Raw genomic sequence first — 27,364 nt, 5'->3', positions numbered from 1 at the left:
TTTTAGAGACATATATTAGTGATCTAGTCTAGTGGGATACCTGTGTGTACTGCCATGGCAGCATATCTGTAATAGCCTGCTGAGTTAAAAACAAACAGAAACCAAATTACATGATCACACAAACATGTCCCTGTTTTGAAAAAAAAATTATACATTTATATACAGTTTGAAAGGATGCCACCCTCATATTATCATGACATTTTTCCTAGGAATATAGTGTTTATTGCTAGGGAGGAGGGAAGACTAACAGTATGTTTTTAGTTTAGTTACTTCTGGAGTTTTGATTTCTAATTTTTCTGCATTGTTCTCTGAGAACATGAATTACACATTGATGCTAATTCTATGAAATCTACTGAGATGTATTTTATGGCATCACATATGGTCAATTACTGAAACAGTCTATGCGTGCTGGAAGGGAATGTATCTTTACTAGTTATTGGCTACAGGGTTTAATATATGTATGCTAGATTAAGCTTGTTAACTGTGTTATTCAAATCATCTATAATCTTTTTCATCTGCATGACTCATTAAATACTGAGTTGTATTAACCTTGCACTATAATAGTAAATGTATTAATTTCTCTAGTTTGCTCACTGTTTTATTTTATATATTTTGAGGCTATATAATTAAATATATACAAACAAGTTTAGAATTATTACAACTTTGCAGTGAATTGCAGTTTACATTATGTAGTGATCTTTTTTTATTCCTACTAGTTTTTGCTTTTAACACTATCTTTATCAGATATTAACATAGTGACACTAAACTCATTTTGGTAAGTAGTTGCCTGTTGTATCTTTTCCAATCTTTTATTTTCAACCCACTGACATACTTGTTTTAGCTATAACTCTTGTAAGCTTTATATAGTTAGAATAAAAAAAAGAATATCATTTATTGTGATCACTAACATCTGTGGGTTTTAGCTATCACATTGTGTTCAAATTTCTATTAATAATTCCCTGTTTGTTATATGCTCCCTTCATACTACACATTTTTCTATTCTATTTGCTTAGATGTTATACATTCTATTTTTATTACTTTACAGGTTATACTTATAACTTTTAACAAGACATACTTGATTGTAGACTTAGAATTCAAAGCCCCCCCCACCCCCACCCCACTTCCCCTGAGTAGTGCAGGTACATGACCCTTAGAAGGCTTTAAATCTAATCACACCTGTACCATGTCACCCAACTCCTCAGTTCAACCTTCTTTACCCTCCCAAGTACTCATTTTTGGTGTTGTTTTGTTATTTGTAGACCCTGTTTGTTTACATTTATCCAGAGGGCTATTTTTTCTTTCCTCCCTATTCCTTCTCACATTTAAGATGTCAAAAATCCTTTCTGGGATCTCATCCCTCTTTTTGAGGGAAATCCTTTAGAAGTTATTTTAGTGAGGACCTGGTGGTACATACTCTCACTTTTTAATTACCTAATGCCTTTATTTTGCCTTTGTTTTTAAATTAAATTTAGGAAGGCATAGAAGTCTAGGTTAGGAGTTAACTTCTTTCAGCAGTTTAGAAATAGGCAGTATATTCCAGCTCTAGTTTTTTATGTTAGGATGTTCTAGGATCAGCAATCATTGTGGCAAGTTTTTTCTTTTCTTTTTCTGACTCCTTTTACGTTCATGTGTCTACATGTAGGTTTCTTTTTTCTTTACTTGGCTTTGGATCTGTTACACTTCCAGAAACAGAGAATTCATGGTGGTTGCAGCTTGCAGCCTTGGGTGGTTGGGTGGAGGGAGGCTTATGTCTTATGTCAGAAAAAAAACCCAGCTGAACCTGAGTCAAGGTATGTCCCTTCATAGAGATTAGTGTTTGCTTCCACCATGCAATTCAAGGTGTTACCCACCAGGGATTTAAATGCTGATTTCTGAACTTGTCATAGTATAATTTCAAAAGCATATGTGAGTAGGCCTTTGGTTACATATTCTTTAGGGTAGACCACTTTCTACCCCTATAACCTCACCAAGCACACACCCCACCCAGCCTGGGAATCAAGGGTGTTTTTTTGTTTGTTGGTTTGCTTTCTTTCTGTGGTGGGAGATTTTATATTTAGTCTATTCTTTTATTATAGGTATATCCCTTTAGAGCAATGGTTTTGAAATATGCTGTCAAGTTCTATTAGTACATAGTGAAATCAATTTGGTGCTATGGTTCTTAACCTTGGCGGTGCATTAGAATCACCCAGGGAGCTTTTAAAACCCTGATTCCTGGGCCACAACCCAAGACCAGTGAAATCAGAATCACTGAGGGTGGGACCCTGGCATATATATTTTTATGGCTCCTAGGTGTCAAGACTGAGAACCACCATTATGACCAGCATTTTGTAATAAAACAGAATGGAGTACAATCGTAAAAAAGAGTAGTTAACACTGATCCTTAGTAAGAACTGTGCACATTGCTACAAAATCTGCTATTCAGTGGGGTGTGAGATTATATACCATGTTCTAATATAAATTATATTCTTACTGCAGTTTTCTCTTTAAAAAAAGAACCTAAAAAAGTTAAGGCTCTTAATTACCAAGATTAGAAGTGGTCCTCAGAGTAGCTGAAGCGTGAGAGCCAGCTTATTACTTGCATTTCTGCTGATATGTTTTCATACATATATGTAGGCATGTGGAGATTTCCCTTCCCATTTAGCTATGGGCGTCCATTTGTCCAGCTCCTCTAGATGTTACGCAAAAGGTTATGAGAATATCAAGTCTATCATTTTACTGAATATGAAATTTCAGATTTTTTTATGTACTGTACATTTTTCCTTTGAATTTTATTTGAATGCATGCACTATAATGTCTAAGTTAAATTTACAGTTAAAATATGTTGTAATTACACTCTATTAACATATTTTATAATGACACCACAGAAAGTTATTAAATGTGCTTTCCAACGCACTCATTGCTGTACCAAGGCTGTCACATTTATCTGTAGAAAGAGATTCTCTAACATAGGGTTTTGCAGCTTTAGTTGTCCAGTTCGTAAGAGCAACGGGAGTTTTCAGACAGGCAAATAGGGGAAAATAGAACTTAAAGAGGCACCAGGGCAGAATTTATTTTTGACCAAGTGCTAAGGTAAGATGGCTGGTAGGCATAGTGACAACATGCTCGGGGAATGTCTGAAGCATGGTGACATCACCATTTTCCCCAACAAATGGGGACAGGAGGAAGCATCATAGAGACTGTTTGTTGTTGTTGTTGTTGCTGTTGTTGGCATGGCTAAACTACCCCTGGGAACATTATGGCACCTTCCCAAAGATCTTCTAGATAAATTATTTTAAGTGAGGCGTGAAATTAGAGATTCTAGCTGCTAAGCCCCTTTTCTATCCTGTCCCCAAAAGATCAAAAGTTGCAACAGAAATATATTTTTTCTAATACCACTATGTCCCATCTCTGGAATTCCACACTTTCCCCTATCATAATCCTCCCAAATGCCAATGACCCAGCCAAAATTCCATCTAGTCACATGGAGTGATGGGAATTAGTGTCCATAGAGCAGTTCATCCAAACCGAGCTGATGCTAAGCATCTCATTATGTAAAACTTTCAACCTCCCTTTATGTTACTATCTGGCACTCCTACATTTCAAACTGTAAATATAGTAAGTGTGTTCTACTGGAATCACTACGCTCAGAAATGTCACACCCAGACCACAACACTCAAATGTGGCAGATTGCTGGCAATCTGTTTTCTTTCTCCAAGGAAGGAAAAGCTGTACAGTTGCTTTAGAAAGACTGAGAAGGAGATAAAGGTGAAAGGAATTATATTAACAGATTGGTGTAGATAAAGTGGGGCTTTGTGTTTTAACTGGTCACAACATTTAAACATGTTATTATGCTCCTAGAACTGGATGATAATTTTCTGGGATAGGCAAAAACCAAGAGAAAAAGAAATATTTAAGAAAATGAACTAAGAAAGAAAGTTTAGAAAAGCCAAAAACAAATTTACTGACGATCCAGAAAAAATCTTACTCAAATATCACCCAGGCAAATAGACACGTGACTGCTTCTCAATGTCCTCTTCCCCAGACTCATGATTTTCTACCTTCCCAGAATGAAGATCCTTTTACACCAGAGAGTCCTACAAAAATGTTGGTTCTTTAATTTCAAACTATAGTATGTTATGTGATCACATGTAGTTGGAAAACTCAAGTTAATCAGAAGGATTTGAACTATGTAACACTTTCAATAGTCCCCAAACCTGTCAATATAACACTTTTTTATTTTCTACTTTTAGCTCTTGCCATCTTTAATCTGAAAGGTTAACTGTTTTGAAGGAATAAACAGATTCTGCAGAGCACTGTTTATTTAACTATTGAGTCTTCACTACAAAAAGAAGCTAGACTAAATTAGCTTTTTCCCCTACTAGATTACAAAGCCAGTACAGTAATATCACCTCAATTAAAATTTCTAAAATGTCAATAAATAACACTTGCATTCATTCACGTCCTCTCTTCCTCCCCTTCTCTCTGTTCCCACTGTCTCTTTCTCTTCCTGTTTTTCTCCAGCAGGCACTGTTTTCAATTCCTCGACTGCTGTTCCATTGTTCTGGGAAGAAGTCCATTTAATTCTGTGTACCAAATTTACTATGTTTTAAATGATTTCTTGGACAGATTCTATATATATATCCAATTCTACTGTTTTGGTGCCAATTTCTCTTCTTGATACCTTTCCTTGAATGAAAGACTTGTACTTAAAGCTCAGTTTTTCTTGCAACACATGCATGCATGCACGCATACACACACACAAACACACACACACAAACACACACACATTTTATAGATAAGAAAAAAACAACCCACAAATAAAACCTAAATCTGTGCTGTCCAATATGGTAGCCTCTAGCTCAAAGTGCTACTTACATTTAAGTAAAATTAAATAAAATAAAAAATACAATTCCTCAATAATGCCAGCCACATTTCAGAGGCTCAATAACCTCATTTGGCTAGTGGATATCACATTGGATAGTGTCAAAGAGCACTGCCATCACTGCAGAAAGTTCTATTGGATAGCACTGTTTCAAAGCTTCTATAGATTTTAGAAAAAATGGTAGGAAGCTGAACTGCATGATTCATTCATCGATTTTTTCCCTTTCATACTTGTATGCCTTTATTTAGCCAAATGAAAAATGTACAGATACGTTTCATTAAATGTCAATGTTATACACATAGTCCAAAAGATGAAGAAACAAAGTATCGTGAGGAAAAAACCAAACAACCGTCCAAGTATGTATGCCTAGGTGGAATTTCATAATAAATAGCAAGGCCAAAGTCAGGACTCTGAATGCTGACTTTATTTAGTTGATTTTCTAAGGCCTTATTCATCTGATCAAATGACATACAAGTAAATCAAGATTGTTTAATCTGAGGCATTTGTTGCTCTAATTTTACGATCATTTAATGATTCCATAAGGGGAACAAAAAGAATCAGTTGAACTGATTATACACTAAAATCCAAAAAACTGTGTTACAGACTATCTCATAGTTGATAGGAAACCATTCCTAAATCTGTTACACTGATTAAACACCTAAAACTTAAAAAATACTTCAAAACCCAATGTAAAATACTGTAACCACTTTGGTACTTGTAACACCAAGCTGACAAAGTGTATTCTTAAGGACAATTTCTCATTTCTGGTAGACATGCAGGGTGATGATGACCTACAGGGTGTCATTTCATATTTCAAGTATAATGAGGTGACCCTGACTGACCCATTACAGTCAGAGGTGTGAAATGCAGCTTTGCAGAGCAAATGCAAAAAGATTACGACAAACAAGTTACAATGCAAATCAGTTCAAGGTGGTCAGAGATAAAAACCCCTACTTCAGAGAAAACAGAAACTAGCCAAATTTAAGGCACCCTTACAAAGAAGCATAATGACCAAAAGTAAAAGTCCAAATGCTCATTAACTTATCTACTTAAGGAATTGTGCCTTCTTGAAGATAACCCAAAATATAGTTTCACTTTAGAAGCAGTGACTAAAGTTTGTTTTCATATTCATGTAAAAACATAAAATTAAAAGACTTTAATTTAAAATGATTATCACTTAACATTTCACATTTACTCATGATGTAGAATGCTTAAATGAAAAGAATGTAAAATGTATAACTTAATATATAAAATTATAATCACCCAAATAACATTATAATGATCTAAATACTATCTAAATCATCTTTTTTTTTTAGAGTAAAAATAAAGCAAATTCTGTGATGCCTATATTTGGCTCTTTGATCAAACTAAAGGATTTTCTCCTGCTTTCAAAAGGAGTTTTGTTTAGAGTGAGACACAATCCACCTGATAGAATACTATGAAGTCTAGAAACATTATTTTTCATTACTACCAGTTTCTGGCCCAAAGGAGTTTGAGACTCATCGTTCCTATCCTCACAACAAGAAAATAAAAAAAGGTGACAAACTAAAAACCAACAAATTTTCTTAGATCTAGCAGAGAATTAAGGTCACAAGACAAACCACCACCCTCAAAACTAGGGACACAGGTAGATAAGGAAAACCCACAGCTTACTTGGAACAAAAACCACCCAAAAACCACCTCTGAAGCCAGCCTCAGGTAATGATACTTAAAAGGTAATTGACTAATTGCTAGAGACTGTGCACTCACTAGCTTGAGAGAGAAAACAAACTCAGGAAGGCCTGGTCCTGGGGTGAGGGGTAAGGGGTGAGGGGTGAGGGGTGGGGAGTGACGGGTAGAGAGTGGCATCACATTTTTCTAAGTTTAATTTCCAGGAGCTCCAATAGGATCTTAGGATAAAGATCACAGAAAAATCCCCTCCTGCTTCCAGCAGAGAAAATGGAAAAGTAACCATTTTATAAGCCCAGAACATTTTGTTCTTAACAATAGCTTGCCCTCATAGGAAATTATTTTACCAGACTGTAACCACCTTGGGTTTCACCAGAGCCTAAAACACTTGGGAAAAGGGAAATACCCAATTACAGGCACCCCATTCCCCATCTCCCCCCGGAGTGATCTGGCATTTGAGGGAAGGAAAACACCCCCACTTCAGCCCCTTCTAGCCTTACTGTTGCATCTAAATGGGAGAGGAAAAAAACCTGAGAAGCACTGATGAAAGTCACAGCCCAGGGACCTGTACTTATTAAACGACTGAGAACTAATCACCGGACTACAGAATGGCTCCTTTCTTCTCACAGCTAACCACTACTGATATCAATAGGGCTCTTGTATAATACCAGGGGATTACAACAGACCGGTTTATCCCAGCTCCTTTTACCCAGTATCTTATATCTGGCTTTCAACACAAAATTACAAGGCATTCCAAATAAAAAAGTGTGAAGACAGAGCAAGCATCAACCTGACTCAGATATGGTAGGAATGTTGGGGTTATCAGACTGGGATTTAAAATAACTATGATTAGTATGTTAAGGGATCTAAAGGAAAAAGAGGCAGCACGCAAGAATAAATGGGTAAGGTAAGCAGAGAGATAGAAATTGTAAGAAAAAACCAAAAAGAAATGCTAGAGATCAAAACACTATCAAAAATAAAGAATGTCTTGATGGGCTTATGAGTAGTAGACTGTTTATAGCGAAGGAAAAAAAAATCTCTGAGCTTGAAGATATTTCAATAGAAACCTCCCAAACAGAAAAAAAATAGTAGTATAACTGATATGCTAAAAAGGATAAAAAGTGAAATCATATATTATGCTCAATTAATACTGCAGAAATCAGAAGAAGGGCAGAAGACAAAAAAATTAACAAAAAACAGAACAAGGGCAATGAACAGAAAATAAAGAAAAATATGATAAATAATAATACAACTATACTAATAATCACTTTAAACATCAATGGTCTGAATACATTAGTAAAAAGAGGCTGTCAGAGTGAATAAAAGCAAGACCCAACTGCGTCCGGAATTGGTGGGTTCTTGGTCTCACTGACTTCAAGAACGAAGCCCCGGACCCTGGCGGTGAGTGTTACAGCTCTTAAGGTGGCGCCGTCTGGAGTTTGTTCCTTCTGATGTTCGGATGTGTTCGGAGTTTCTTCCTTCTGGTGGGTTCCTGGTCTCGCTGGCTCAGGAGTGAAGCTGCAGACCTTCGCCGTGAGTGTTACAGCTCTTAAGGCGGTGCATCTGGAGTTGTTCATTCCTCCCTGTGGGCTCGTGGGCTCGCTGGCTTCAGGAGTGAAGCTGCAGACCTTTCGCGGTGAGTGTTACAGCTCATAAAGGCAGTGTGGACCCAAAGAGTGAGCAGTAGCAAGATTTATTGCAAAAGAGCGAAAGAACAAAGCTTCCACAGTGTTGAAGAGGACCCGAGCGGGTTGCCACTGCTGGCTCCAGTAGCCTGCTTTTATTCTCTTATCTGGCCCCACCCACATCCTGCTGATTGGTAGAGCCGAGTGGTCTGTTTTGACAGGGCACTGATTGGTGTGTTTACAATCCCTGAGCTAGACACAAAGGTTCTCCACGTCCCCACCAGATTAGACAGATACAGAGTGTCCACACAAAGGTTCTCCAAGGCCCCACCAGAGTAGCTAGATACAGTGTCGATTGGTGCATTCACAAACCCTGAGCTAGACACAGGGTGCTGATTGGTGTATTTACAAACCTTGAGCTAGATACAGAATGCCAATTGGTGTATTTACAATCCCTGGGCTAGACATAAAGGTTCTCCAAGGCCCCACCAGACTCAGGAGCCCAGCTGGCTTCACCCAGTGGATCCTGCACAGGGGCTGCAGGTGGAGCTGCCTGCCAGTCCCGTGCTGTGCGCCCGCACTACTCAGCCCTTGGGTGGTCGATGGGACTGGGCACCGTGGAGCAGGGGGTGGCGCTCATCAGGGAGGCTCCGGCCGCACAGGAGCCCATGGAGGGGGTGGGAGGTTCAGGCATGGCGGGCTGCAGGTCCCCAGCCATGCCCCGCGGGAAGGCAGCTAAGGCCCAGTGAGAAATCAAGCGCAGCGCTGGTGAGCTGGCACTGCTGGGGGACCCAGTACAACCACCGCAGCCGCTGGCCCAGGTGCTAAGCCCCTCATTGCCCGGGCCGGCAGGGCTGGCCGGCTGCTCGGCGTGCGCGGCCTGCCAAGCCCACGCCCACCCGGAACTCCAGCTGGCCCACAAGTGCCGCGCACAGCCCCGGTTCCCGCTCGCGCCTCTCCCTCTACACCTCCCTGCAAGCTGAGGGAGCCGGCTCTGGCCTTGGCCAGCCCAGAAAGGGGCTCCCACAGTGCAGCGGTGGGCTGAAGGGCTCCTCAAGTGCCACCAAAGTGGGAGCCCAGGCAGAGGAGGCGCCGAGAGCGAGCGAGGGCTGTGAGGACTGCCAGCACGCTGTCACCTCTCAACCATGTGTTGTCCACAAGAAACCCACTTTAATAATAAAGACACATATGAATTAAAAGTAAGGCAACAGAGAATGATATACCATGGTAATACTAATCAAAAGAAAGTTGGAGTAGCTATATTAATTTCAGACAAAGCAAACTTCAAAGCAAAAGAGCCGATTAGAGATAAAGAGGGGCATTACATAATGTTAAAAGGTCAATCTTCCAAGGAGACATAACAATCCTTATTGGGTGTGGGCCTAACAACAGAGCATCAAAATATATAAAGCAAAAGCTGATAGAACTGCAAGGAGAAAAGAACAAATCCACTATCATAGTTGGAGATTTCAACATCTCTCTGTTAGTAATTCATAGATCCAACAGGCAGAAAATCAGTAACAACGTAGTTGAATTGAGGACCACCATCAATCAACTGGATCTAGCTGACATTTATAGAATACTTTACACAACAACAGCAGAATACACTTTCTTAAGCACACATATTCACTAAAATAGACATATTCTGGGCCCTGAAAGATAACTTAAAATTTTTTAAGGAATAGAAATCATACAATATGTGCTCTCAGACCAAAATGGAATTAAACTAGAAATCAAAAACACAAAGATAACTGGAAAATCTCAAATACCTGGACACTAAACAATAAACTCTGAAATAGTACATGGGTCCCAGAACAATTCTCAAGAGAAATTTAAAAATATTTTAAAGTAAATGAAATTGAAAATACAATGTATCAAAATTTGTGAGATACACCAAAAGCAGTACTTGGAAGGAAATTTATAGCACTGAACACATATATTAGAAAAGAAGGAAGTTTTAAAATCAGTCATTCAAGCTTCCACCTTAGAAAATGAGAAAAAGAGAAGTTTAACCCCAAGATAAGCAAAAGGAAAAGAATTAAAAAATTAGAGCAGATATCAATGAAGTGGAAAACAGTAAGTCAATGGAGAAAATCAGAAAAATCAAAAGCTAGTTCTTTGAAAAGATTAATAAAATTGATAAATTTCATGACAAGCAAATGAAGGAAAAAAGACAAAAATTACAAACATCAGAAATGAAAGAGGGGGCATCACTGCTGATTCCATAAGGTTTAAAGGATAGCAAAGTAATATTATGAACAACATTCTGCCCACACATTTGACAACCTAGATAAAATGGAAAAATTCCTTGAACAACACAATCTGCCAAAAATCACACAAGAAAAAAAAAGTAACTAAAGAGGCCCATATCTATTAAAGAAATCCAGAAAACTACTAATAACCTTCCAAAACAGAAAGCCCCAGGACCACATGGGTTCACTGGTGAATTCTCCCAAACATTTAAAGAAGAAATTATACTAATTCTCTACAACGTCTTCTAGAGACAGAAGCCGGGATGGGGGGGTAAGTTTCTAACTCATTGTATAAAGCCAGGATTACCCTAATACCAAAACCAAAGAGATTATAAGGACGTAAGACTATCAACCAATATCTCTCATGAATGTAGATGCAAAAATCCTCAAAAAATGTTAGCAAGTTTACTTAAAGTACAAAACACTTTTATATCACAATTAAACGGAATTTATTCTGAGCATACAAGGCTAGTTCAACATTTGAAAATCAATGTAATCCATCAACCACATAACAGGTTAAAAAAGAAAAATTACATAATCATATCAATAGATGCAGAAAAGGCACTTGACAAAAATCTAACACCCATTCATGGTAAAATCTACCAGGAAACTAAGAATAGAGGGGAATTTCCTCAACTTGGTAAAAAACATCCACAAAAACCTACAGCTATAATTACAGTTAATATCACACTTAAGAAACTAGGTGCTTTCCTGGTAAGATCAGGAACAAGGCAAGGATGTCTGTTCTCATCATTCCTATTCAACTTTGTACTGAAAGTTCTAGCTAATAAAGACAAGAAAAAATAGTACACAGATTGAGAAGGGAGAAATAAAACCATCTTTTTCACAGATAAACAATTTTCTCTGTAAATCCCAAGGAAGGGACAAGAACACTGGAACTAATAAGTAAGTATTGCAAGGTTGCAGGATACAAAGATAATATCCAAGTCTATTACTTTTCTATGTATCAGCAATGAAATAGAATTTAAAATAAAAAACACAACACCATTTACATTAGCAGCAAATAAATGAATAATAGTTGTACATCTAACAAAGTATGTACAAGTTCTATGATGAACACTACAAAACACTGAGGAAAGAAATCCAAGAAGAGCTAAATAAATACTCTATGTTCATAGACAGAAAAGCTAACAATTGTTGAGATTTCAGTTCTTCTAACTTGATCTAAAGATTCAGTGCAATCCCAACCAAAATTACAGCAAGTTATTTTGTGGATATCAACAAATTGATTCTAAAGTTTCTATGGAGAAACAAAGGAGCCAGAATAACCAACATAATTTTGAAGGAGAAGAATAAGTTTAGAGGAATAACACTATTTGACTTCGAGACTTAGTATAATGTGCCATTAATCAAGACAGTGTGTTAATAGTGAAAAAATATACAAATAGACCAATGTAACAGAATAGGCGAGGTAGAAAATACACTCATACAAGTATAATCAACTGATCATTGATACAGGCAAATCAACAGAGGGAAAGGACAATCTTTTCCACAAATGATGCTAGAACAACAGGGCATCCACATGTTAAAAAAAAAAAAAAAAAAAAAAAGCATCTATATACAGACCTTACACCTTTCTACCCACAAAAAAACCCCCAAAACCTTCAAAATGGATCATAGACTCAAATGTAAAATGCAAAACTATAAAAATCCTGGAAAATATATTAGGAGAAAATCTAGGTAAACTTGGGTTTGCCAAGAACTTTTTAGATACAACTCCAAAGGCACAATCCACGGAAGAAAACATTGATTGTGCTGGCCTTCATTAAACTTAAAAGCTTCTCTGCTGAGGACACAAAGTACAAGCCACAGACTGGGAGTATCCAAGAGATACAAAGAACACTTAAAACTCTACAATAAGAAAATGAACAACCCGATTTAGAAAATGGGCAAAAGATCTGAACGGCACCACATTAAAGAAGATATACAGATGGCAAATGAGCAAATGAAAAGATGCGCCACATCATCTGTCATTAGGGAAACAGAAATCCAAACAACAATGAAATACCACTACATACATACTAGAAAAGCCAAAATTGATCCTTTCTATTCTTTTTAGATTTTGGCCATTCTAATAGATACATAGTGGTATCTCATTGTATTTTGATTTGTATTTACCAGTATTTGTTGTTGCAAAAACAAATGCTGACAAGGATGTGGAGAAAAGGAACTCTCATTCATTGCTGGTGGAATTACAAAATGGTATGTCACTTTGGAAGACAGTTTTTCAGTTCCTTACAAAACTAAACATATTCTTTCCATATGATCCATCAATCATGCTCCCAGGTATTAATCCAAATGACTTGAAAACTTATGTCCACTCAAAAACCTACACATGAAATGTCTATAACAGTTATATTTATAATTGCCCAAACTTGGAAGCCACCAAGATGCCCTCTAATGAGTACATGAATAAACTGTAGTACATTCAGACAATGGATTATTTAGCATTAAAAAGAAATGAGCTATCAAGCCACAAAAAGATATGGAAGAATCTTAAATGCATATTGCTAAGTGAAAGAAGCCAATCTGAAAGGGGTACATACTCTATGAATTCAACTATATGACATGTTAAAACAGATAAAAATATGAAGACAATGAAAAGATCAGTGATTGCCAGGGGATTATGGGGGCAGAATAGAGAAGAAAGGGATTAATAGGTAGACTGATGAGACTTTTTAGGGCAGTGGATATATTCACTGTATGAAAAGATTATTTCTTGAGAAATTAAAAACCAACAAACAGAAATACATTTTTACATAATTTTCACAAAGACATTAGTATTAAAATAGAATATATCAATGAAATTATTTTATTTGATCTTTACCTGTGTTTTCAAAATGCTTTTATAATAAATATGCATACTTTTATAGATAAAAAACTAAGGCTTAAAACATGTTTTTCTAAAGAGTTCAAAACTACTATTTTCTAGATATAAGGAATAGGATTATACTTTAGGAGATATCAACTATTCCATTAGCATAATAAGGTACTGCAAATATATCTGAATAACTAGAAATTCCCATTAAATGATGGAGCAGATTCATTTAATACTTTTCCCTTTAAGGGATTTTTATTCTTTCTATTTGTTATTAAAACACATACATTCATTATTCTAATGAGAAACTCTTCATAAAACAGAGAGTGAAATGAAAAATTATGGTCTAACAAAATTACTTTGTAAAATTGAGACATAATACAGATTAAAGAGCTATAAACTTTTCATTGAATAAATATGAAAGATATAAACAGAGGAAGAGAGAAGAATCCTTGACCCGCTCTTAAATGAAATGAAATGAGTACAGCTTACTCTTAACTTCAGACAGAACAGGCCCGAGGTATTACAGCTTTTCTCCTTTACCTTCTCATACATATAACGCCCTTTCCTAGGAGCAAATGCCCATTATGATGTGTTTTGATCTCACAAGAAATAGAAGCACAGTAAATATAAGTCTGAATTAGCACTTTTAGATTAATAGTACCAATTTATGTATAATGGAATGACTCTGTTATAATGCAGTGCTAAGAAGGCCCAAAGCCATCATTAAAATATTAAGCAGAATAAAACACTTAGCTTCCAAAGGTCTATGGGTCATTTAATTTATTCCCCACCTTATTAATAAGGCTATCCCTTAGCATTCCATACTTATTTTCAAAGATTTTCCAAGAAAGAGATTTCCTTTATCTGGGGAAGGCCCCATTTACTGACAGCTGCAAGGAAATGTTCCAGGAGAAATGAGCACATACATGAAGAATATTCTTGTATAGTGCTTTTATCACCAAATGGTGTAAACTGCTCCAGAGTACAAATTCTATAAACACTGGGACCAATATTAACATAATAGGACTCTAATAAACAAGAGTGGGATTGGTTTGATGGGAATTTAGAAGCCAGCCAAATACCCAAACAGCCACTTGGGCTGTCTGCGTCATCTATCACCCTTTAGCTCCACCTATGGGATTGTCCCCACAGGGGCCAGTCCCACTCCCCTCAGTTGGTCCAAGGTCCTAGTGAATGTTCCTCCCTTGTCTTCTTTCTCCCCTGCAGTCTGAATACTCCCATCAAACCCACATGTCAAAATTTTTTTATTATTGTTAATTGGAAAATATTTCAAAGAAATGGCAAGATTCTTAAAGTACCAGGTGAGTAGAAAATTGGGAACTTGGTGAGCTAGAAGTCAGGGAAGTCCCAGGACAAGTTTGCTCTTGAAAGAGGAGAAGGTGCAGGGGGAGAAGAGAACAAGTAAAGGAAACATGGTGAGTGCTGTGGCAGGATGGAGATGACTCCAGGTGCAGGTGGGTGGCTGGTGGTCATGTTCCCACTTGGTTCAATTTAGATGGCATCATTAAAAAGTTCCCCATTCCACAATAAGCAAACTTTTCTTGTAGTCTACAAAATGTGAAACTTTCCTTTCCGCTGTGAGTGTGTAATGCTTCATCCCATGGAACAATTCAGAAAGTTAATTTTATATGCTTCCGTTAGAGAATCTAACTAAAAGCTGAGGGAAATGATTGGGAAGATAAAACTACAATCGCAAAGGGAATCCTGTAAGACATAATATACTATGAGCAGTCCGGGTGATTCTTTCCCCTCCCCTATATGATACCATTCAATACAAACATCTAAAAAGAACTCTCATTTGGCTGTTATTCTTCATTCTCTAACAGCAGTAAAAATGACTACAGTTTAAAAACTTAGTTCCAATGACCACAAATGTTCTAAATATTCATATTCAGCATAAATTTTAAAAATGAGAGGCCTATAAAATCATCAATGAATTCTACCTTATGTTTAAAGAAGAATTATACTCACTCTTCACAAATACTTTAAAAAAATGGAAGGAACACTTCATTTAATTAATTCTCTGAGTCAATATTAACCTGAGATTAAATCAAAGACATCATCAGAAAAAAACTATAGACCAGTATCTTTTATGAATATGGATTTTAAAAAACTCAACAAAATACTAGCAAACCAAATTCAGCAACACATACAGGTAAAAAGAATTATACAAAATGACCAAGTAGGATTTATGACAGGAATGCAAGCTTGGATTAACATCTGAAAAACATATAAGCATCTTGATAGACACAAGAAAAGTATTTGACAAAATCTACCACCCTTTGGATTTGTTCAAAATATAATTGGGAAGTCACTGGAGGCTTGTGATTAGGAAGGTTATATGATCTTTTTCACATTTTTTTTTTGAGACAGGGTGGAGGGCAGTGGCATGATCTTGGCTTACTGCAATCTCAATGTCCTGGGCCAAGCAACCCTCCTGCCTCAGCTCCCCAAGTAGCTGGGACTACAGGTATGTGCCACCATGCCCAGCTAATTTTTTTTTTTTTTTGGTAGAGATGGGGTTTTGTAATGTTGCCCAGGCTGGTCTCAAACTCCTAAGCTCAAGTCATTCACCCACCTCGGCCTCACAAAGTGCTAGGATTGCAGGTGTGAGCCACTGCACCCAGCCTTTTTTCACGTTTTTTAAAAGGATCTTTGGCTGCTGGTGGGGACCTGACCATGGGAACAGGGATGGCCACAGGGAGCCAAGGTGGAAGGCAATTACAGGAGAAATGCTTGACAATCTATTTTCCCTTAATAATGAGAATGGTGGTGACTTGGACTACAATGGCAGCTGAGGAGGTACTAAGAAGTGGTTGAATTCAGGGCATAATTTTGAAGGGAGAGCCAACAGGATTTGCAGATAGACAAAAATTTAAAGTGAGCCTGTCAGCATGTTTGTGTGTTTTTCCTGCAGCTCTGATCTGAGGTTGGGTCCAGGCAGAGCAGGTGGAGCATTTGATTTAACCAAGGCTGGTTTTTCCAGGTAGGTATGATGAAGGGAGAGGGTGCAAGGTTATTGAGGATGTGTGCAAAGGAGGGATTGTCAATCACTATGGACCATGTAAACTAAGCTGGGAAGGTCAACAGATTGGCATTTGACACAGGGGTGTAAATATTTTGTAAAGTAGTAGGAGGTGTCCAGAAATTAGCACAGTCCAGAAATTTCTGACTGTTGGTGTAGGTCCTATGGAATTAGCAATGTGGGACCCTTCAGACATGCATGATATATTAGCTCCTAGCTGAATTTCCCTAGTAACTGCCATGTGAATTGGAAGTTGCAGTATTTTGGGATTTATGCAGAATCTGTAATATTTAAAAGCATGATAGTTAAGCCCCTTCTTCACACCATGGCCTTGGGTAGAACAAATTGTAGTATCTTTCATTTACTGAATTTAGAATTTTCATCATTTCTTCACCAGGCTTGCCTTTCATACATAACTTTATCTTTCATTTCACAGATGCCAAGGGCCATTTGATGTGAATTCCCTTAACTTCCCTTTCTGTGACTTGAGCCTTGACGTATTTGTCCTTTCTTCTTCCCCCATTATATAAACAACGTCTTTAGATGGAGGTATACTCAGGCTTGTCTTGACCACCTTCTTCCCTTCTACCTTTCAACATCTGGGCATCTACAAGATAAAATCCATCATTGCCCCTTCTTCAACTCTCTCCTCCTGTGTTCAGTGTATATTGTAAGTACCTACTACATTTGCTACTTCACATATGTTAGAAACCTTAGACTCCTCTTCAAACTTTCTCTCTGGCCTCTGTCTGGGTCACTTGGTCCTACTCTCTCAGTACTGAATATTAAAGGATGCACCCTTTAATGGAGACCCCTCCCCACTAGCCTAGGCTACATGATAGCCTCTCAGCTGGCTTTCCTGTTTCCAGTGCCTGGCCTCTCCGAACTGCCCTTTACAATGCTGCCAGGGTTTTCCTTCTAAAATATGAGCAGCATTTATATTACTCAGATACCTAAAACACTTTAGGCCTGCTCCAGTGTCTCTAGCTGAGTTTCTGAAGGCATAAGATGTAGGCAGTGGCACAGGCTAAATTTTTAGGAGGTATTTGAGATGAATTTCAGTAGCATAGAACCTCAAGATTTAAAAATATAGTATCTCTTAGTGATTTATTTTCGTTTTGATCCTCTTCTGATTCTTTCAGTATAGCTAAGAAAAGGTGTCAGTTTAGTGCTCATAGGTCAGGATCATGCTTCTGATGTGTGCTCATCTCCCTTTTTAACAAGCCTGCAGGTTCAGTTCAGAGCATTAGTGAAAGAACAGTGTCAAATTAAAATGTTATAAGTGTTTGGTTTTTTGAATTTATTCAGGGCAAGTAATACAGGATTATTATCCATAGTTATGGTAAGTCAAAGTATTTAAGAAAAATGTCAATGTAATAAAAGTTCTAATAAATAATAATGCCTTTGGCATAAACATCACCAAGAAAGAATTTGGGAACATACCTATGGACTAAAATCCAGACTCCGTATTTTCCCATGCATCAGTTCCAATTTAGCTTAATTTCCAACTGCAACCCTTCTTCATAAATTCTTCACTTGGACACAGATACTTCTCTGACCCTCGAAACTGCCCTGCACCTTCCCTTTCTCCATGCCTGTATTTATGCTGTTCCTTCTGTCTGGGATATCCTGCCTCACTTTTTGGCCTTTTGAAATTGGATTTATTCTGAAGCCTCAAATCAAGTTTTCTTTCTAGAAAGTCTTCCCCTGAGTTTTGAAATTATGACTTAATGACCTGTTTGCTTGTCCCTTGATTATAGTGACTGCTTCTCTCTCAAATGACAGTTTGTTTACACATGCATATACCTATTATATTGTAAGCTCCTACAGGGCAAACACTATGCCATTTTTTTATTCATGGTCCCCACAACCAAGAAGAAATGCCAATATATATATTTGTAAATAAGATAATGGGTAAGAAATTTTATATCTCTTTTCATTGCTGCCCCTGGACCTGTTTGCAGGGTTTTTTTTCCTCTCCTAATAAATGAATACCTTTAGAAATAGGTCTTAATATAAGTAAGGGCAAATCTAACTTACTGATTGCAATGCAACTTATGAAACACTTCCTAAGTCCCTGGAGAAGTTAGCTTTTGATTAGCCTCTTTATTTAGGCTCATATCGTACCATTCTGTTTTTCTTCTTGTGTCTTTTTTGGGGGCTGTGGGGGTGAGTAGGAACCCATATTCCCATTTAATTAAATCTGAGGACACCATGAGAAATGAACCTTAAAAATCAGCAAAATATCAAAAATTAGCCCGATTCTCTTATCCAACAACTATTTTCTGATCACTGGTTCTGTTCCAGGTTTAGTGCTTGGTGCCAGGCACAGAGAAAATAAGAGCTATCATCCCTGCCCTCAAGGAGTCAAGCTGTGAATCAGTGGTATAGTACTCCATGAAAATTTGGGAAAATATCCCTTGTTTTACTTCAGGTAATGCTTAACAGACAATGCATTAATTGAACACCAGCTTTGTGCCAGCTTATGTGCTGGGAGATGTGGATACTTCTATGTTTTAACTTTATTTGCCACATAACATGAATTGTAACTTTTACCTTCTAAGACTGTATCTGGCCAAAGAATAGCCCCAAGGCTGATAAAACTTATTATAAAAGTGCTAATCATTTGTCTGGCAATAGGACAACCAACTTTAACAGAATGTGCTTTCTGAGAAGTTCCAGTCAGATTAGTGTCAGTCATCTATGAGTCTCTGACGATGGTCTGCCCACATTTGCTCAAAAAAAACAGCCCACAGCTGTACACAAAGCAAATCCAGGAGACCACATGGTCAGACTTACTGAAGGGTATTTAAAAGACGACACTTAAATAATATATGATCCTCGTTTTTTTTATTTTGCTTTGTTTTGGAATGCCTAGCCATTTGTAATCCATAACAGACTTGTACATTCAGTCTTTTTTCTCTTTTTAGGGAAGAGTAATTGTCTTAGTCTGTTTGAGCTGCTATATCAGAATACCATAAGCTGACTGGCTTATATAAAACAGACATTTATTTCTCACAGTTCTCAAGGCTGAGAAGTCCAAGATCAATTCACAGGAAGATTCAGTGTCGGGTGAGGGCCCATTTCATGGTTCACAGACAATCACCTTCTCTCTGTGTCCTCACAGAGCAAGGGGCTAGGGAGCTCTCTGGGGTCTCTTTTTATAAGAACACTAATCCCATTCATGAGGGCTCCACCCTCATGACCCAATCATCTATGAAAGACCCCAGTTTTAAATATTATCACACTGGAAATTAGGTTTCAACATGAATTTTGGGGGAACATAAAAATTTAATCTATAGCAGTAAGACGTGTCTAAAATAGCCCCCTTGATTTGAGACATCTCCTGTAGCAGCACAAGTTCGCTTTCTGATTAACTCACATTCTCTCTTTGTGCCTAGCACTGATGTTGGAAAAAACTAATTAGCAGAATGGTTTTGGTAGAATACCAGTGACTACTGATATAAAAAGCTGGGAAACATAAGGGTGGTTCAAATACCTTGGCTTCTTACAAAAAAGACCAAAAAGATTAATTTGAATGTGAATCAAGGTGGCCAAATTACAGATACATTCTTTTTAATTTATGGCCACGTGTGGTGGCTCACGCCTGTAATCACACCTGTAAACACTTTGGGAGGCCGAGGCGGGTGGATAACCTGAGGTCAGGAGTTCGAGACCCACCTGGACAACATGGTGAAACCCTGTCTCTACTAAAAATACAAAAATTAGCTGGGCATGGTGGCGGGTGCCTGTAATCCCAGCTACTCAGGAGGCTGAGGCAACAGAATCACTTGAACCTGGGAAGCAGAGGTTGCAGTGAGCCGAGAACATGCCATTGCACTCCAGCCTGGGTAACAAGAGTGAAATTCCGTCTCAAAAAACAAAACAAAACAAAAACAGATGCTGGGGAGGTTGTAGAGAAAAGAGAATACTTATACACTTCTGGTAGGAATATAAATTAGGCAGGTAGATCACCTGAGGTCAGGAGTTCGAGACCAGCGTGGCCGACATGGTGAAACTGCATCTCTACTAAAAATACAAAAATTAGCCGGGCATGGTGGCAGGTGCCTGTAATCCCAGCTACTCGGGAGGCTGAGGCAGGAGAATCACTTGAACCCAAGAGGTGGTGGTTGCAGTGAGCTGGGATCGTGCCACTGCACTCCAGCTTGGGCCACAGAGCGAGACTCTGTCTCAAAAATGTTTAAAAAATAAAATTAATTAATTAATTAATTAAATTTGTCTTAACACCTAACCAACATGTTGGCTTTTTTTTTTGTAAAATTTCATGTATGTTGGTTCACTAAAAACCATATGTCAGGATTTATTCCTTCCTAGCAAAGACCATTCTATAAAAAGGAAACATATACTAAAATCAAGAATATCCAAGGCTATGCGCAAAATAGATCGAAAAGTAGCTAAGACAAATTAGGCTGTATTGGAAAGGTACAAAAATCTGCAGCATTCAAGAAATCAACTTGTTTTGCCAAAGAATCACCACCACAATTTTTAGTCATATCCCAAACTGTCTTAAATATGAAAAATATGGCCATCAAAAATAATGTGGAAGGGGAATATTATTTTTACCTAACTTGAAAATTGCCATAAAATGATAGTCCTTTGGCCCACAGCAGGCCCAGCCAAAATGAGCCAGACCTACAGCCTGTCTGAAGGATCAAATAGCATGAAGAAGTGGGGAGAGGAAAGCTACCATCTGAACATAATATGGAATTCTTATCATGCCATTAAAGTTCTAGATTGCCTATAAAACATGTTCTGTGAATGCTTTCTTAATTTAAAGTAAAAATGTTATCACAACCATGGCATTGTCTCTGATATCTGGTATCTTAGACAAATTATAGCGTCTTCTTTTATACTCTTCTAAGGAATGAACGTTGTTTATGGAAAAGGTAGTATTGCTTAAGAGAGATAGCAGGCAAACTTCATAAGAGGTCTTAGTAGAGACTCCTATAAGAAAATCAAACAGGAATTATTTTAATCTTTTGCTGGTCAATTTCTCCCATGTTAAGTAACATAGGCTATACTTGGTAGAAGCAGTCCTGCATTTGGAAGCAGAGACCAGGGGACAAAGACAATCACAGTATTTCATTACAGTACTCCACTAAACAGTAGCAATAAAGGTTATTTTATCCTTATAACTGCCCTAGGAATAACTAGCCTGGAGCTACTGCTTTTTGCATAGCTCAGTTTACATGCTTGCAGAGAGAGATATTGCAAAAAGACTTTACATTATTTCCCTAGTCAAAGGAAAGGCATTCTGCCAATGTCCAATGACTATGTTTTAGAGGCTACTGTTCCAAGTCCATCCCAAGACCTGCTCCTCCACAGCTTTCAGATTAGATTTCTTAATGACTCAGTGTTGTACTGATGTTACCCAAGGTCAATGAAGTTAAAATCTAGGAGACCAGATTCCTCAAGAGATCAGAGCAATTCTTTCATATCTTACTGCATTCTCTGTAGATGAATGGAGAAGGTAGCTTTGTTTTGAGACAGGGTCTCACTATGTTTCCCAGGCTGGAGTATAGCCTCGTGATCATAGCTCATTGCAGCCTCAAACTCCTGGGCTCAAGTGATCCTGCTGCCTCAGCCTCTTAAGTATTTGGGCCTGAAGGCACATGCCACCACATCTGGCTAATTCTTATTTTTTTTTACTTTTGCAGAGACGGGAGTCTCACTATGTTGCCCAGGCTGGTCTTGAATTCCTTGCCTAAAGCAATCCTCCCACCTTGGCCTCCCAATTGCTGGGATAACAGGCATGAGCCACTGCACAGGCCAATAAGGTAGTTTTTATTTAGTATATGTAAAAATAAATTACTTATGCATCTAGCTAGTACTAGTCAGAAAGACTTAGGTTACTGAGTATGGTACTTGCACCTATCATCACTGGAACTAATGTCAATGTTTGATCATTGGTACCAAAAGTAGTTTATATTTAGTCCTAAAGATATTATAGTGATTATTTGGTAGGGGGTGGTGCCTCCAGATTTAAGCTATAACAAATAGAAATCCATTGTCTGACCCCAAAGTAAAAATTTTTAAATGCTTTGTAATTGAAAATATCACATTGTGCTTAAAACAAATTTGACAAAATGATGCTACTTTAGATAAGAGGTTGGCAAACTTGTTCAGCATAAGGCTAGGTAATAAATATTTTAGGCTTTGTAGACTACATATAGTCTCTATCACATAATCTCTTTTTCGCCAAACAATTAAAAAATGTGAAAACTATTCTTAGCTCATAGGCTTTACAAAAACAAGTGGTGGGCCAGATTTGGCCCAAGGGCCATGGTTTACCAACCCCTGCTTTAACTAGTGTACCACACTAATAAAGAATATTTTCATTTTCTTAATCCTTGCTGCTATTTTTCCCTTCAAAACATTATCAATAAGAAGCACAAATTAAGACAAAGTCTAAACCAGGTAAAATCTCTAATACAAACTAAAACTGGATAAAGAGCTACGAAAAAAATTATTACGTTCTCTTTCAAATTTAGTCTACTCAGGCACATTCAGTTATGTGATTACTTGAAGATATGCTTGTATGAGGAAGTGAAACGTGGGGGTTTAAAACTCATGATCCTTTTTTTCCCCAGAGGCAGTTGGTGGGAATTAGCAGAAGTTCTGCAGACCTTAGTGAGCAGCATCTGCAGAGTGCATTTCCAAAAGGAGCAATTCTAGATCGCTGTTCCTATTAGTGGGGCTTTCAGGAAATACCCAAGAAATTAAATGCACAGCAGGACCTAAGTTGAGTGGCAGTGATCTTAGCACATGGACAGTTTCATGAAAGGAAAGTTGAAATGCTGCTTTAGGGTTACTCAAAATAGTCACAAAAACTTTGGAGCTCTGTCACTACTGCTGCCTCAGAATGGGGTTCCCTTGCTTGCCACTGCCCCCCAACTCCCCGCCAGCCCCACTTGCCCCATTGCAAATCCCAGACAATGATGGCAGCTGCACAGTTGCTGAGAGCCCGTAAGGCAACATCCAAGATAAAAGACGAAGAAAACTCTGTCTGAAGTCTGTGTGCTCCAGCAGAGTAAATGGAAATACTTCCAGGCTGAACACACAGAAGGGTTTCAAGCAGTGCTGAACCATGCCTGTCACGTTTCTGTGAAGCCCTCCTCCTGTCAGTCCAGCACATAAGGAAGGCTTCAGTTTTCCAAGACCAATTTGTCTGCAGTCTTTCAGATATTCAGTAAGTGCTATTTTTGCTCCTGAATCACAGAAATTTTAAATTAATGCAGATTTCCTTATTAACCTTTGTTAACTTACTAAATGGTAAAACCCTAATTACTTGCAAATGAACCAGATAAAATAAAGGTGTAAGAATTTTTTTCACACTTAATGTATAATATTCCCATTAGTAATCTTCTTCATAACGACCCTTTGTAGGGTTAAATTTCAACACTTTAAGTCACTCATTAAGTGTTAATTATCATTCTTCTATTGTTATAACTGATAGGTACACATCTGTGCAGAAACATTTACCCCACAAGTCCTCATGTAATGACAGCAGTTGGTGTTCCTCTTGGCCTGATAGGATTAGATGACTTGTAAGGTTTTATCTGACCCAGATATTAAAGGGCTCTGGGCTCTGTGGCTATTCAGATGGTATCAAATACACCTTTTACCATTGAGGAGCTTGATTCAGATAAGGCTTTTGTACCCCCATTTTTACATGGTATAGAATACCATAAGCACTTAATGAACACCTTTAACCTGCAGAGGGAACTCATCTCCTAACCTAATCAGAGCCAGACAAAAGTTTTAGGCAACTACACCACTGATTACTGACTACAACAGTCCCCCTGGTTCTTTTCCTGACCACATCAAACCTGCCTAATGTGGCACCTTCATCCCTTTTACCACCCAACTATCTATCAGGCACCTACGTCACAATAAATGCCAGTGACCTTGGTAGGGCTGAAAGAACAGAGATCTAGATGATATAGTCGGTGAATGATGGTTAAGAGGAGGAACAAAAGGTATCAGTGTGATATTTCAAAAATGGAATCTTTAAACAGGGATAAAAAACCTAGCAGAGTGGCTTCTCACTTCACACCGACACCTCCAAACTTCTCAGAACCCATCTTAAAAGCAAAACAAAATAAAACAATAAAAACACCTTACTAAATAGTAGAAAGCACAGTAGGCAGATTATCATAACAACAATAAATATAAGAATACTCATTCCCTTCCAGACATGTAGTAAGCCAGAAATTCTAAGGGCTGGTCACCATTAAATTAGATAAAAACTAATGACTAAAGCTGATCTTTTTATATTGGGTATTTCATTTGATAACATTATGTCCTCTGGGACAAAAACAGATTAATATTTAAACCAGATTAAAATTACTGATTTTTGTCTACTGGATGTTTCATTTCGTAAGATGCCCTCTGGCATAAAAGGTATTATTCCAAATAATACCAAATGGGCATTTAGGATGATTCTCCACATATGCCTAGTATAACCCAGTTTTGTTCAAAAACAGGAGTTTATAATTACTAATATGCTCAATCACAACCATTTCTTTAACGCAAGAAAGTCACTAAATTTAATTTTCCCCATGATCACTGATATAAAAGATATTTTCTGCTAATAAATTGGTTCTGAATAATATGTGCCTTACTTTGTGGCTTTCATATTTACAAACCATGATTCCTACATGAGGTTTTATATGAAGTTCTAAAACCACAACATTAAATACAAAAGTCCGTAAAATCTTATTTTTAAATTATATCTTCTGTTAGAATATTAAATACAATTTAATAAACTGAAACAGTATATTTTATATGACACAGAAAGCTTTTAGAAGACTAAATCATGAGCAGAGACATGAAAGCAAAGATATTAGACAGTAGTCACTCAAACATCTTTTGCTCCTGTGGCACTGAGAATATCGTATGTCAAAATCAATTGCCACATCCCTATGACCTGTACTATAATATCCTGTCACTGTGATACAAAGCACAGTATAAAGAACAGTCACACAGTGATCATTTGGTCAAGCAGCCCATGGCTAGAGCATCATCCTTCCAAAGTCATGACTGTGGACGGTCATAAAAACCAGCAAGGTCACCTAAAAGGGACGGAGGAGCTTGGTTTTTCACAATGTCTAGCTACATCCCTAAAACGGGGTCAGACACATTGCAAATGTTTGCTTTTGGTCATGAAGAAAGCTGTGGATCAATCAAAACAAATTACTACCTCAACTAGGAGAGAAAACAAAAAGAATCTTAAAATTCCCATTGGAGGCAAGTCAGGAACACTTAATCCTAAGTGAAAAAATGACGGATATTCTCTGGGCTTCATTTTTCGCAGCTACTACAACCATCAAAGCAACGCAAGAACTGGAAAGACTTTTTAAGCAGGATTGAAAAACAGTCTTTTTTTGCTCTTTCCTCTCTTTGCTGTTACTAGAAAATAGTGGTTACTAGAAAAGAAAGACTTCAGGGTAGGAAAAGGGCAGCAAGAAGAGGCATGTGAAGCACAGAACTGAACAAGGGAGTTAAGCCTCTTCAAAGAGCTCACAGTCAGCTGTGTGTGTGTAGCTGGCTTTTTTCCTGCATGGCTTTGGGAGGCAAGGCAAGACTGACTTAGAGAAAGCCAAGGGTACACAGCCTCAGCACATTCAAAAACAATGAAAATGAAAATTACAACACAAGCCATGGAAAATATTTGCAAATCATATATTTGATAACATACTAGTAACCAGAATATACAAAGAACTCTTAAAATTTAATAAGACAAATGCCCCAGTTTAAAAATGGGCAATTTGAATTGCCATTTTGCCAAAGAAGATACACAAAGAACTAATGATCACTTAAAAGATATTCACCATTATTAGTCATTAGAGGATTGCAAATTACAACCACAATAAGATACCACTTTATACTCACTAGAATGGTTATAAGACTATAAATAAACGTATATTAAGACCATATATTTCTGTATGTTTATATACACACATTAAGACATACACATATGTGTATATTCAGACATACTGGCAATGCTATATACCCATATCCAGATATGACAATATATATAATACACACACACACGCACACAACTGACAATGTTGTCAAGGATGTGATAAAACTGGAACCTTCATACATTGCCGATTGCTGGTGGGTTTGTAAAATTATATACTCTTAGATGGCTACCTAAGAGGAGAAAAACAAGTTCATCCAGAGAATTGTGTGCACAAGTTCAAAGCAACCCTATTCTTAGTAGCCAAAAACAGAAAACAAACTAAATGTAGATCAACTGGTGAATGAGTGACCAAATTGTGGCATATTCTTACAACAGAATAGTATTCATCAATAAAAAGGAACAAACTTCAATACATACTACAACATAGGCAAACATCAAAATCTTTAAGTAAAAAAGACTGGATGTAAAAGACTATATATTATTTGATTCAATTTATATGACAGCCTCAGAAAGGCAAATCTATGGAGACAGATAGTATATTAGTGGTCACCTGGAAGACTGCAAGAGGGAGCAGGGATTTATTGCAAATGGGCACGGAGATGATGAAAGTTTTGGAGGGTGATGGAACTGTTCTAAAACTGGATTGTAGTGATGGTTGCATAGCCCCTAAAATTCTTGGCTTGTACACTTTAAATAGATGGAGTTTACGGTGCGTAAATTATACCTCAATAAAGTTGTTTTAAAAAATGACAAAGATCCTTTTGTCTTTTTACACTGTAACCAAAAATCATGGTAAAATTCTACACAAAGTTTTTAAATTCTAATATTTATTCACCAAACAGTCACTGAATAATGGCCACAAACCCAAAATGGCTTTGACTTTACCACCACACTATGGTTTAAATATCTGATGCCTGGGCCTTTTTTAGTATCCTTAATTATTTGACAGTGATCAGACTATTTATTGACTCATGGGATTTTGAATGAGAGACAAAACAGCATTGGAACTATCAGGGTGGGACAGACTGATGCCCCTCTCCGCAGAGCCTCAGGAACCATCCATAGACTAGACATTGCTCTACCAGTCAGCAAGCAGCGGAGAAACAGTTCACATAGTCCCT

The 27,364-nt window shown here is 37.6% G+C and overlaps 1 protein-coding gene across 8 annotated transcripts in view; it reads right to left on the bottom strand.

The window, feature by feature from the left end:
• The window catches only part of KCNN2 (potassium calcium-activated channel subfamily N member 2), a 440,519-nt gene that overhangs the window by 54,701 nt on the left and 358,454 nt on the right, over window positions 1-27,364 (bottom strand). For 2 of the 8 annotated variants that reach the window (NR_103458.2, NM_170775.3), the window contains exon 1: window positions 7,867-8,285. The exons of the other annotated variants lie outside the window; for them this stretch is intronic. The gene's annotated coding sequence lies outside the window, so the exon portion shown is untranslated. Of the gene's footprint in view, window positions 1-7,866; window positions 8,286-27,364 lie in introns of those variants that run through there. 8 annotated transcript variants of the gene reach the window in all.

The sequence above is a fragment of the Homo sapiens genome, chromosome 5 (genome assembly GCF_000001405.40).
Source record: "Homo sapiens chromosome 5, GRCh38.p14 Primary Assembly".
NCBI lineage: Eukaryota > Metazoa > Chordata > Mammalia > Primates > Hominidae > Homo > Homo sapiens.
Note: the sequence above shows the minus strand (reverse complement) of the source record. Positions and strands in the feature narration are given on the sequence as shown.